Here is a 13,937-nt window from a genome sequence, read left to right on the forward strand (position 1 = left end):
ACTACTGCTATTATTATCGTGGTGGGCTGGGACACTGAGGTGGATGTAAATAAAGAAAAAGAAAAAGAAAAAGGAAGAAAGAAATACTTCAATCTATTTTCTTACATTGACTAAACTGTCACCTCTATCAGTCAGTCTTTTTTTCCATTGCTTCACCTCTTCTCCCGAGATACACTTCCTTATTCAATACATTCACAAGCTTGACCTTTTTTTGTTCTTGATTCACTTTCATATAAGCTCCTTCCCAGATTTCATCTCATGCATCTTTAGGACAACTATTCATTAGCCCTAACCCAACTCTAACCAACCCACACCTAACCCCAAGCTTAATCATACTGACAAGTGTTATAAAACCACAGGCCTATGTTCTTAATATGCAGAAACCCCCACTTAGTACTTCACCCCTGTTCTTCAGGCTACATCTTTGCCTGGTGTTGTGTGCTGAAGCCCTCCAGGAGCCAGCTTCACTCACATCTTACCTGCCTGAGCTACTTGCTTTAAAATTGTAAGAAGGGACAGATGACTTTTCTTAGATCCACAAGGCTTCCTCCACCTTCTCCTACTTATCCTAGGGGATACACTAGTTCTCTTCTCCTATATCCTTACCTCTGGGGTTTGGGTCCCATGTTCTATGGATTAGTCATTCTCATGGTCTTGGATCTCTGCAGTTCACACCTCTAGAAGGCCCGTTCACTTCTTTCTTCCACTATGGACCCGTCTTCTGGGGCAATGGATTATCATGTCCATTGTTGAGCAGGGCTGTCTTAATCCCATGCTGTTGACAGCTCTTCTGACTGATCTATATAATACTCACCACCTCCCCATTTCCCATCCTCTCTGCATTTTGCCTTCGGTCTTCTGTGGCTCCCCTCATCCTATCTCGCCTTACACCTGTAGGTGGCGCCCATGCACCGGTGAGGGCAGATGGCGCCTGTTCTGTCCCTCCTGTCTCCCCCTGGCTGGGCTCAGACAGTAGGGAAGATCGGCCCTTCTTCCTCACAGAGACTCTCCATCAACATAAAGACATCACTTCTGGGTCCTTGTTCTCCACACCTGGAAGGCTTCCACGAACAGCATATTTCCTGGAATAATTTCTTAAGCTGCACCTATAATTTGTTTATCTTTGGACTTATAAAATAAGCTTAACATGTCTCAGCCTGGCTGTCCTCATCTGTGGAGGCCATCTTAAATGGTGGTGGTTTGACAGGTTATTATTTCATCTTAAGTGATATAATGTATGCAATTGCTGGGTACAGTCTCTGGCACATGGTATACGTGTAGTAAATGCGTTGTTATTATTACTGTTGGTGTCATCCTCAACATCATCAGCCCCATCATACACAAACCCATAGTCCTTTGCCCCTTAGGTGAAAAGTTCCTGGAATGTGGTTTAACTCCAGCTTCTCCTGCAGTTATAATTCTATATCCCCAAATCTGTCTTTTTCCTTTCCAAAAATATCACCATCCCCAAAGAAGGCCCGATTGTTTCAATCCCACTGCTTTATTTCTGGAAAGAATGGTGAGAATTTTTAGCCCTAAACATGCTAAATAAAATCACAAATTTCTTCTAAGAGTTCTGTCCCTTTTTCTCCTATACATTCTCCAAAATAAATCTATTTTCTCTATTGATCTAAAGCTCACAACAAACTTCTTGTTGAAAAATATTTGATTTACTGAAAAATATTTCCCTTGGCTACCTCCTAAGTGAACTGATAGGGTACCCAGCCACATAATCTCTTGTTGGACAGCTCTTCTTTTCATCAAAAGAATCCTTGCAACAAAAAGCACCTGGAATGGCAGGTTACGATGCTCTCCTCTTCTTTCGCAAACTTTCTAGATTTTCTTTCCTTCTCTATTCTATTTCTTTTTACTTATGAACTATATGAAAGGCAAAACAGACAAACTGGCCATTAGGATTTCAATAATTCCCTTACTTTCTCCTCCACATTCTATTTTCCCTTACCGTTATTCACCCTCACCTCACTCTTCCACATTTCTGCTGTCTCTTCCCTTCCAGGTGCTCACTGTAGTGGACCCTAACCATGCGAAAAAGTCATAGCCAAAATTCTCTGTTTCAGCACACAGTACTCATACAGATTACTGACCCCAAGAGGTTGTATGAATTGGGCATACTCCTAGCTCTAACTGCCTCTGTTGGCCTCTTAGTCTCCCATTGCAATTGAGATGACATCTGCAACCTCTTCCTGGTATATCTCTCACAGATGGATCTGTTTTGAGTTCCTAACCATCCTGGGAGATAGTTTGATCAGATATCAGATTATAGATTAGACAATGCAAGCGAAAGAAAAGAACTTGCCTGAAGTCCATTTGACATATAGAAACCGGGATAAATTTACAATCTCACTACTTTCAGAGGTAAGCACTTTTCTTCTTATTATTTTTTTTAAAGAAGTCCTTTCCAAATATTCACAGTTGGATGTTTCAGTGCATGCTGCCCTTGTGTGAAAAACATTTCAACTTCCAATATTTTGTCCCTCTCCCCTCTGTGTATCTCACACTGACAAAGCCTGTTCCCCCTTGTAAGAACAAGAATCAGACTAATTGGCTCTGTAGGGTTGATTTGGTTTACGAATCCACATGATTCATGAATATGAATCACCCAGTATGCACATGGAGAGGAATAAATGGTGTGACTTTGGGCAAGTGTCTTTGACTCTCAAGTTTAGTTTTATCAATAATCAAATGAGAAAGTTAGATATTTGACCCTAAGATCCTTTATATTAGAAAATTTTGTAATTTTGCTATTTTAACAACAGCACAAATGATATTAAGCAAAATATTTCAATCTCCTTTCTTGATGATAATGATACTAAAAAACATAAAAGCATGGGGATATTTATAAGTCTGTATTAATAATAGTAACAAATATCACTTGTTCTCACTCATATCTGGGAGATAAAAAAATTGATTTCATAAAGGAAATGAATGGAATGCAGGTTACTAGAGACTGGGAAGGGTGGAAGAGAGGGTGGAACAAAGAGAAATTGGTTAATGGTTACAAAAATACAGTTAATAGAAGGAATAAATTCTAGTGTTCAATCACATAGTAGAATGATTATAGTTAACAAGAATTTATTATATATTTTCAAAATAGCTTGAAGATTTGGAATGTTCCCAACATAGAGAAATAATATGAGGTGATAGATACCCCAATTACCCCAGTTTAATCATTACAGACTGCATGAATATATCAAGATATCATCTGCAGCTCATAAATATGTACAACTATTATGTATCAATAAAAAATAATAACAGTGGGTAATCTCTAACGTGTGTTTACTCTGTGCCAGAATGTGCTAAGCAATTGTCATGGATGGTCTAATTAAACCCTCATAAGAACCCCATGAGTTATGTACTACTATTATACCTTTCTTTACAGAGGAAGAAACACAGGCACAAAGTTAACTAACTTGCTCAAGGTCCCTGGCAAGTAGCTGAGCCCAGATTCAAACTCAGAGACTGGGAGAATCCTCAGGCAGACTTCTTAGCCACTACACTTGACTACCTTTGCTTTCCTAATGCTTTTCAATGACTAACAAATAGATAAACAGTGGCTATTAATTTCCCAGTGTTATACAGTATTAATCCTCTAATTTAAGTAACCTGCAACTTTGCCTTTAATGGGTTATCAATAGCATATTTAGAGCTCTTTCTTGCAATTAGTTGTTGCATAAGAATTTCAAAATAACGTCAAGAATAACAAATAGTTTTTACTTACAAAGAGACTTGCAAATTGAATTTCCTTCATCTGTAAAACCTCTCCACATAAAATTAGTCATCCTATTTTATACTTTATTTTTAGGCTGCTTTATGTTCTCTTAACATTCAGTGTCGTTGAATATCAAAAATTGCAGCAATTCTATCTATATGTGAAGACTTTACTCACTTCCCAGAGGTTCCTGCTCAAAAATTAAAGTCCATGCTAATTTTAGGAATTAATGTATTTTTAAATAACATGCACCTTACCCAGCTTTTAAGAGATTTGTTATGAATAAGGAGTAATCATCATGCATATGTATCATGCTGAGTGTACATGTGAATTTAACAGTGAATATATTTCATATGATTTTTTTCTGCTATTTACTTTATGCTTTGATGAAGCGCCAAAACTAAAGTAATAGTCCAGACCCATACAATGCTAAAACATAGAAACTGCTACTCAGTTACTGAAAATTTACATTTTTATATAAAGATATAACACTTAATATTATTACTCTGTTGAATTATTAATCAGTTCACATGACAAATGTGATACAAATAACAATAATGAAAGTAGAAAAGAAGTTATTTAAACCCATTCATTCAAAAGACATGCTACTCAAGAGTGAAGTATAAGAAGGACAATTTGAACATGATTGTTTAGTTTCAGTGAAACACAAATTGGGTGACTCAAACAAGATTCTAAACACGCATTGTGATCTTCATGCATTGATGCTGTATTTCACAACTCTTGAGATGCTAGCATTATACCTAGGAGTACTGTCTGAGGGGCTATATAGGAAACTTAATTTAAAACCATGGGTCTCCTTGTTACACACAGTGTGACATAATCCAAGAACATACACTCTGCCTTCATACCACTAAAGCTGTCACATACATTATTTTCAGACCAGGATTGGGAATTTTATAACAAAACATATTTCTATAGTTGAATCTCAAGACATCATATAACTGTAGCTCATGTAGCTTGGGCATTGAGTACCCTAAAATATTACATCTAATACATCTAAAATAGTAAGCATGCTGGTTATCCTTTCTGTATTAGTTTTCCATTGCTGCTATAAAAAATTACACAACCTTAGTGGCTTAAAATAGCACAAATGTAATATCTTACACTTCTGGAGGTCAGAAGACATTGATCTTAATGTGACTTATTAGAAATAAAATCAAGGTGTTAGCAGAGCTGTGATCCTTTCTGAAAGCTCTTGGAGAGATTGCTTCTGTCTTTCAAACTCCCAGAGGCCACCTCCATTCTTTGGCTCATAGCTCTTTCCTTCATTTTCAAAGCCAGCAATGGCAGCAGGGTCCTCACCTGGTATCAGTCTGACTCAGCATCTTTTGTCTCCTTTTTCCACTTTGCAGGACCTTTGGGATTACAATGGACCTACTCACATGCTCCATGATAATTCCCCTATTTGAATGTCAGCTGATTAACAACCTTAATTCCCTTTTGCCATGTAACATAAAGATACAGGTTCTGGGAATTAGGACATAGACATCTTTATAAAACCATCATTCTGCCTACCATATCTTTTAAATGATTAAAAGAAAACCCTGATAAAATGTTTGCCAGATCACAGGAGAAGTTTTTTTCAGACGTCAGAGAGGAACTATGTTCTAGCCACGTGGTTTTCCAGCTATGCTCACCATCAGATCTGCCAGATGTTTTCATCTTCTCCGACATTTCCATAATCAAAAGTCATCTTCAACCCCAGGCCTGCTCTTTTTTCCAACACCAATTAATAAAGGACATAGGAGAATATTTGTAGCTGGCCTACCAAAATCCATCACTAGCCAGGATTGATATTTTACAATTTCTCATTTTTCTTGATGCCCCACATCAGTCGCTTTTAATTCCATTCAGCCAGCAATTATCTAGTGCCAACAAAATGCCTGGCACTGCACTTGGTGCTGAGGCACAAAGAGAAACACTCAAGCCATACTCTTGAAGAGCTTGCTATGTGTGTGCGTATTGCATGCATGCCTGTGTGTGCAAGTGTGAGATACACGGGTCTACGTATATATGCATGCATGTACGTATGAGTGTGTGCCAGAGCGTTGTTGAGAGTGGGGCATCCAGGACAGGTAGGTAGAAATGTTATTTCAGTGTAGTGTTCACACACACATACTGTGATTCTTTTCTATCTCCACTCCCCTTTCTCGTCCTGCTTCCAAGTCCCTGGTTCAGGCCATTATCACATCTTGCTTCAGTGACTACAAGTCTCCCACCTGCACCCCATCCCTTCAGTCTCCCACCTGTGAAATGTCCCACTCTCGAATATAAAAACAGCTGTAGTCGTGTCACTCACCAGCTCAAAAGCAGCACCATCTTCATTGCCTTTAGAATAACATATCCATTTCTCCACAAAGTGTCTAAGGCCCTCTGGGCTCCACCTACCTTTCAAGTCTTATCTCCTTTTAATGTCATGTGTTCCAGGACTCAATGCAATCATAGCCATCCCTGAAATCCCTGCTGTGTTTTCCCAGCTCCGTACCTCTACCACTGACAGTCACTCCACCCTTTTCCCCTTATCCAAATGATGTCCATTCTTCAGAAACCAGACCAACAATCACTCCTTCCATGGAACATTCTTCTGTCCCTCCCCTACTGAAAAGAATCTTTCTCTACTTACGGGGCCCCCACGACCCTTCATTTTAGATCCTTTACTAGGAAATCTCCATTTCTGCCTTAGATCTTTTGTTTTGCTAAATATCAAGGCCCCTCTCCCAGATTATAAGCTCCTTGAGAGCAGTCATTGGTTTTATTCCTCTTTGAAACATTTACAATCACTTGCACAGCACCTTGCCCATGGCAAGGACATCGTGTTCGTTTGTCAGATTCAACTGAATGGATCAGTAGTGTCAACTTAAGAAGGTTGTCACAAACACTGTTTCTACAGCTAGTTCTTCTTGGAGGTGATGGTGGTGAGATACATTTTTTCTCTATTTTATTCACGAACACAGTGAGACATAGACAGGAATCGACAGACATCTACAGTGAGGGAACCAATTTCTTCTTCTGAAAATGACTGAAAGTCACTGATTAACCCATAAATTTAAAGGACAAAATAAGTATATGTTACACAAAAACAAAAGTAAGATAACACAAAACTGCAAATGTCCTTAATAAAATCAGTCCAGAAACATCATCTGAATTACATACAACTGCTACAGAAAATAAAGAACCTGTAGATTAGTAGGAATTCCTAACTTTGTGAATGTTGTCTGTGTGTATTTTTTTAATCAACTGTTCATTAATGAATATGTATGGAAAAGACAGGCTATGAAGGCATAAAAGTGTTTTTGGTGTGTCATTGTCATCAGTTCTACTAAATAATTATCATTACACATCCAAAAATATCTTGAATGGATAATACTGAATAATCTAGATTGCCAAATTGCATTAGAAGGGTATTAGCTGACTCAGGAGACTAATTATAATGAGATATTGAACTGCTTATCTCTCATCTCAATCTTAAAACCATAAACCACACTGTATGGGCAATGGCTGCCAATCAAGGCCAGTGTGGGGTAGTGAAAATAGCCTTGAACGAGGGGTCAGGAGCCTCAGCTCTGTCATTAACTCTGTAACCTTGGGAGCGCTTCATAAAGATCATCCTATATGAGAAAAGCAGGGCCCTTCTTTAGAGAAATACAGCTGTACTAGTGGCTGAGACTGCTTATTCACGAAAAAATACTCTTAAAATGCAGAAAGACTGCACACACACACACATGCACACACACATACACACACACACACACACACACACACACACACTGACTCACCTCTCCCAGACGAATACCTTCTTGCCTAATGGGCCAGTTTAGTGCTACTATTAACCAGATGATTATAATTTGAGCAAGTGTTATCCATCCATGTCCCCAAAACAGAAGCTGACATAAAAGTTATCAAATGCTTTTCTCACCCATAGAATTTATCAGCCAGAGGTCAAGGCTGAAATTATTATATTTGTTTCGGAATCTACTTTTGAATAACAATAATATCGTTATATGGTGTTTTTAAATTTCCAGACACCTACCAACTATTTCATTTATTCCTGATAGCCCAGTAGAGTCAATGGAACACATTTTCAGAAGTGTGCTAGGACTGGTGTTGGTGCTGAGTGCTTCCCATTCAGCTAAATTTGGGGACACAAAAATTATTAAGACAAAGTTACTGACTTCAGTTTGCTTTTGATTACTGGTAGAAACAACACATTGCGTTGTAACAATTTATTTACACATCTTGGATGTCCTAAGGGAGCACGAAGGAGGGAATTGTTATTTCCACTGGAAAAAGAAGTGTGTGTGTGCATGGCAGGGCTGAGGGAGGGAAGGCAGAGGGAGATGTCAAACACAGTTTCACTGAGAAGGTGACTTTGTTCCTGGATTAAAGTCCCTGTTCTATCCCTTCCTAGGAGAAGCTCTGAATGCTACCGAATCTCTGTGAGCTTGAGATTCCTCATCAATTAAATATAGATAATAATACTGAATTCATAGGGTTGTCAGAAGGATGGAATGAGAAAGCATATGGGAGAGCAATTTGCAAGTAGCAAAGCACTCAATAAAGAGTGTATTATTCTTTCCACTTTGCACACTCACTAACTTGGTTCACTCCAAAGGAGAATGGCTTATCCAAGAGGGCCCACACCTGCAACAAGGAGCCAGTGTCCCCGCTCAGACTCCAGTGGTCTTCCCCTGACTCTGCCCACTGAGACTCTTGAGGAAATATAGAAAGCACTCATCCTGATAACATTTTATGAGCTCTAAAATCATGTTAACATATTCATATAAATACATATTCTAACATCTAAAGACATTTCTGTGAAATGCTGCTTCTAAATCCTAAGTGGATTCTCTCTGTAAAAGGAAGAACTAACAGAGCATTGTAAGGGAGGAATCATGATTGGGAAAATCATCAGTATTTAATATGAGAATAAAACAGTCATACACTTTTTTAACATAAAAAGTTTTAAACTACCCAAAGTTTCAGAGAATAAAATATGGCAGATCCTCAACGTTTAAAAGGGATTTAACTGTGGATTTGAACAGAAAACATTTGAATAGACATGTGCCTTGCATTTAGTGGGTACTCAACAACTGTTGAATTCAAAGATTTAACCTGATCATTCTTATCCCTAAAATTATAATACTCAAATTTCTCCCTTTATATAATATCTATAAATTTTGCTTTAATCTAATATATTATAGTCCATTTTCAGTACTTGAAAGATAAAATGTTATTTAAATCTGGTAGTCTCACCCATGTTTAAAAAAACAGGAAAAATAAAATTGCTCTTACCTTATTAATAATAGGCCTGGAAAATCTTAAGTAAAAAAACTGCACACTGCGTACCAATGTATTGGGAGATGGAGACATTTGATATCCATGGGAGATTCACAAATAGTTGTGTTTACTGAATATATCAATTTGTATTAGTTGAAGTTCTCCAAAGAAACAGAACCAACTAAAGGTAGGTAGGTAGGCAGGTAGGTAGGTAGATGGGTAGATATAGTATAAGGAATTGACTCATGCAATTAGGGAGGCTGGCAAATCCATAATCTGCAGAGATGATGTCTGAGTTTGAAGGCCATCAGGCCAGAAAATTCTTCCCATCAGGCCAGAAAATTTTACCATCGTAGAAGATAAGACATTTCTCATCCCAAAGGCTTTTCATAAGACCTATAAAAATATGCAAATATCTAGTCCTAAAAACTAGACACAAGCTCTGTGCAGAGAAACAGCACTTTATAATGTGCTGTTTCCTTTCAGTAAATGGAATATAATTTTGGTAAAAAAAAGTTTTCAAACACACGTTTGTAGAAGGTAAAAGAAGACATCTTTCATCCCAAAGACTTCTCATAAGAACCTATAAAAACATGAGAAAAGCCAGCCCTTATCTGAGGGTAGATCAACCTTTTGGTCTATTCAGGCCTTCAACTGATTGGATGAGGCCCACCCACATTACGGAAGGCAATCTCTCTCCCTCATCCAGTCTGCCAATTTAGATGCTAATCTTATCCAAAAAACACTCTCACAAAAACTTCCACGATAATGTTCCACCAGATATCTGAGTACCTTATGGCTCAGTTAAGTTGACCCATAAAATTAACCATCACACTATCCAAAAAAAAAAAAAAAGACTCATGATTTTCTCTAAATTTTGTGTAAGAAATTGATCACCAAAAACAAGTCACTTCAACAAAACACCAAGAAACTGATTTTCTTTTTAGACAAGAAGACAGTTTAAGCTGCTAGAGACCGGAAGGCCCTGGACCACTAATCAGAGTCCTTTGGGTCAAAGTTGATCTCCCCACTTATGAGCTATATGACCTGGACACACTACAGTTGATCCTTGAACAACAAAAGTTTGAACTCTATGAGTCCACTTAGACATGGATTTTCTCCCATCTGTCATCCCTGACAGGGCAAGACCAAGCCTCCCTCTTCCTCCTTCTCCTTCACCTGCTCAACATGAAGCCAACAAGGATGAAGACCTTTATGATGATCCACTTCCACTTAATGAATAGTAAATACATTTCATTTTCCTTATTATTTCCTTAGTATCATTTTCTTTCCTCCAGACTATTGTTAAGAATACAGCATATAAAATGTATAGCATATAAAATATGTGTTAGTCGACTGCTTATGTTATCCATAAAGTTTCCAGACAACAGTAGGCTATTAGTAGTTAAGTTTTTGGAGTGAAAAGTTATATGCGGATTTTTGACTACACGAGGGTCAGTGCTCCTAACCCCCATGTTGTTCAAGGGTCAACTGCCCTTACTTTATTGAGCCACATCTGCATCATCTATTAAAATAGAGAAATAATAGTCTAGACTGAATAGAGTTGTTGGAAAAATGAAATGAAATAACATGTGTAACACATGTCTGTCACATAACAAGTTCTCCATAAACATTAGCTATTCTGCTATTAATAATCATTGTTATAACTATGAGTTCTAATTCTAGGCCTGCTGAAAGCTATTAAAATATGGCATGACTGCCTTAACTGGGATACTATTTCTATTGTCACACACTTGGGAATCTTATTGGATGTTTATATATATCATTTTATCAGTTCTTTACACACATTGATCATTTGGCCACAGAGCAGTTGTACAAATAGATTATTTAGTAACCTATCAATTCAATCAAAATAACTTGCTCTATTACAATCAGTGATGGGGGAGGAAATCCTCCAAGCACCTTGCTTGAAGAGAAATGTAGAAACCACATCGGGCAAAAAGTCCCCCTCCAGCCACTGTGAAACCCAAGTTGTCGTCAGTAACTTGACATTCTAGGGTAGGAATCAGGACAGGAGAGAGGTGATCTCTCCTTTTGACCTTGTGTATTCTGACCTCAGAAATAAGAGCTGGAATTGCCTTCTGGAATGGGCCTGTCACAGTATTGTGTGATTTGGGGGACCCCCTTCATCTGGGAGAGAAGGGTGGTCTCAGCTTCCACCTCAGAAATTTCTGACCCTTAATATACCTCCACCCCATCTCTAGTTAAAGGCTTAAAACTCTAAGATTTTCCTATGAGGACAAAAAGAAAAGGAAATCTGAGCATTTGAAGAAATTCTTAAAAGTCGATGAGTGAGGTTTCCCTCACACATGCCATCTTCCCCTACCTCTCCTCTTGAAAACAATGTCTTTTGCACCCTCAAGGTCAAGGTTAAACCCGAGTTGGTACTCATTTCCTTTCTGATTTTATTTGCCTTATCCTGTTCTACTCCTCAATTGCCTCTTCCAGAATCTGTGCAAAATAATTACCTCAACTTCAGGGGAAAGTTTAGATGTAAATACCCCCGCCCCCCTCCCCACGTCCACACATCCCCTTTCTTCTCTCTCCCTCTTAACATTTCCTTACGCTCTCAGCCAATAGAGGAGTTGAAACATTTAAATGCGGTATCTAAACTGCATTTAAAGAATTAACCCATTTTGCCCCTCACTGGTCTAAACCACAGGGTGCCAACCGGACGTTAATTGCTTTCATCTGGTGGGGTTCCAGACAGCTCCTCAGAAGGAAGGAGCGCACATTCCTGGCACCAATTGGCTAATTCAATTTACTTCAGCGGCATTAGCCTCTGTCAGAATATTCATGAGCAGGGGAATGAGGACCCGCGGTACAGGCAGGCAGCAGCCACTCCTGCTAGGGAAGGCGCGAGGGAGGGGAAGCGGACCGCGCGCCACGCTCGGGGGACGGTGACCGCGACCAGGGGGCTCTTCTCACTGGACAGGCCGAACGCGGTGGCCGCGGGAGGGCAGGGCAGGGCATCGGCGGGGTTGGTGCACTTGGCAGTACCCCCCAACTCCTGGCAACCGCACGGAGACTTTGCGAAACATCCGAAGGCAGAAAAGCTGTGACACTTCTGACAGAGGGGGTAGGGGGGTGGGGGGCGGGGACAGCGCCGCGAGCAGGGGTGAAGAGACCCAGCGGGGCACCAGCCGCCCAGTGGGGGAGGCAGCTACGTGAGCAGAACGCCCGCCCTGGAGCAGTTAGGACCGAAGGTCTCCGGAGAGTCGCCGGCGGTGCCAGGTAACGCAGAGGGCTCGGGTCGGGCCCCGCTTCTGGGGCTTGGGACTCCGGGCGCGCGGAGCCAGCCCTCTGGGGCGAAATCCCCGGGCGGCGTGCGCGGTCCCTCTCCGCGCTGTGCTCTCCCAGCAACTCCCTGCCACCTCGACGAGCCTACCGGCCGCTCCGAGTTCGACTTCCTCGGACTTAGTGGGAGAAGGGGTTGGAAATGGGCTGCCGGGACTGGGGGAGCTGCTCTCTGGAAGCAGGGAAGCTGGGGCGCACCGGGGCAGGTGGAGGACGTGGCGCGCTGGGAGCGGGGACTGCGCGCGCCTGGGGATGGTGACTGGGGATCCAGGAGCGCGGCTTGTGGGGGCGCTTGGCACGGCTTCACCCTCGCTGGCCCCGCAGGCGGTGGCGCCTCCCTCCGCCTGCAGAGGGGACAGGGTGGCCGCGTCCCTCGCACAGAGATGTGCGCCGGGAAGGGGACCAGAGAGCCAGGCTCCGGGGAGGCGCAGGCACCTACGGGGCCGATCCCTGGTCCGTGCCTCGCGCCGCGCCCCCGCCGGAGCTCGGCTGTGGGAGGAGAATGTGGTGGGTACTCGAGTCCCCGCCACCTGCCGGACTTCGCCAACTCCCCGGATTTCCTGTCCTCGGGCCCTGACACTCCCAAGGAAAGCTCTGAATTGCGCTCGCTGTTTGGTTTTTGCTTGTTGTAGTTACTCTGGGGGAAGAGCCGGGGGCAAGGGGGTCAAATGGGGCTAAAGTTTCAGATTTGCAAAGAGAACGTTACCGAGGACTCTCAACGTGTCCTTAGCAATCGGAGAGACTGCAGCAGCCTTTGCCTAGCTATCCGCCTCTGGGGCAGCAGTGGGGGCTGAAATCTGGAAGGCAGCCCGGAGGCAGCGTCAGAGCCTTGTTTTGTTTTGTTTGTTTCTGCCGAGACCAGGCTGGAAGTGAGAGGGGATAGTACCAGACAATCGGGGAGTTGGTCGCCTGGTAGATTCAGAGTTTACTATGTTGTTGCTATTATTATTAATGCTCTTGTTATTGGCACGAGCACCAGGAACAATTTTTTTTCTGATTGTTATAAATCGCCTGCAAATTGAACCTGCAGCCGCCTCCCCTCAAATGAAATGTCCCCGGACCTCCTCCAGTCTCTGATGTGTGTCTTTCCACCAAAGGAAATTACCCACTCAGAGCTGTGGTGCTGTCAGGGACTCAGCTAAGGAATTGGATCTACCTAAGAACAACAAAAAGTTGAAACTAGGATGAGTTTGAACCCACGCTTATAGATGAGTATTATGTTCCTATCTGCTCACCTTCCTCAGCCGCCTCTGGCTGGGGAACCCTGAAGGCATAGCCATCTTGAGAGTTGACCCAGCGTTTCCCTTTCATTTATTTATATAACCTGGGAAAATCTTTTCCCTTTAGTGTCACCCTTGCAGTCTCGTTGGACATGCTGAAAGGATTCAGGTCCTGACACTGGAGGAATCCGTAAGGGCACCTGTGGTTGCCAACTCTTGGCTTGACCCTGTTCAGATGTTGCCCAGGGTGCAGGCTTGGGCAGCTGATGCAGCAGAAAGCTGGGCGAGGGTGTGGGAGAACAGTATGGCAGAGTTAAGCTGAGTGCAGGAGATGAGGTCAAGCCTCCACGCTGGCCACATCCCTTCCTGCC

At 41.7% G+C, this 13,937-nt stretch overlaps 1 protein-coding gene across 3 annotated transcripts in view; it reads left to right on the plus strand.

The window, feature by feature from the left end:
• Nucleotides 1-11,885: 11,885 nt before the first annotated feature.
• Nucleotides 11,886-13,937, plus strand: part of CDH20 (cadherin 20) — a 222,350-nt gene continuing 220,298 nt past the window's right edge. For all 3 annotated transcript variants that reach the window (XR_001753187.2, XR_001753186.2, NM_031891.4), the window contains exon 1: nucleotides 11,886-12,283. The gene's annotated coding sequence lies outside the window, so the exon portion shown is untranslated. The remainder of the gene's footprint in view (nucleotides 12,284-13,937) is intronic.

Source organism: Homo sapiens, chromosome 18 (genome assembly GCF_000001405.40).
Source record: "Homo sapiens chromosome 18, GRCh38.p14 Primary Assembly".
Lineage (NCBI taxonomy): Eukaryota > Metazoa > Chordata > Mammalia > Primates > Hominidae > Homo > Homo sapiens.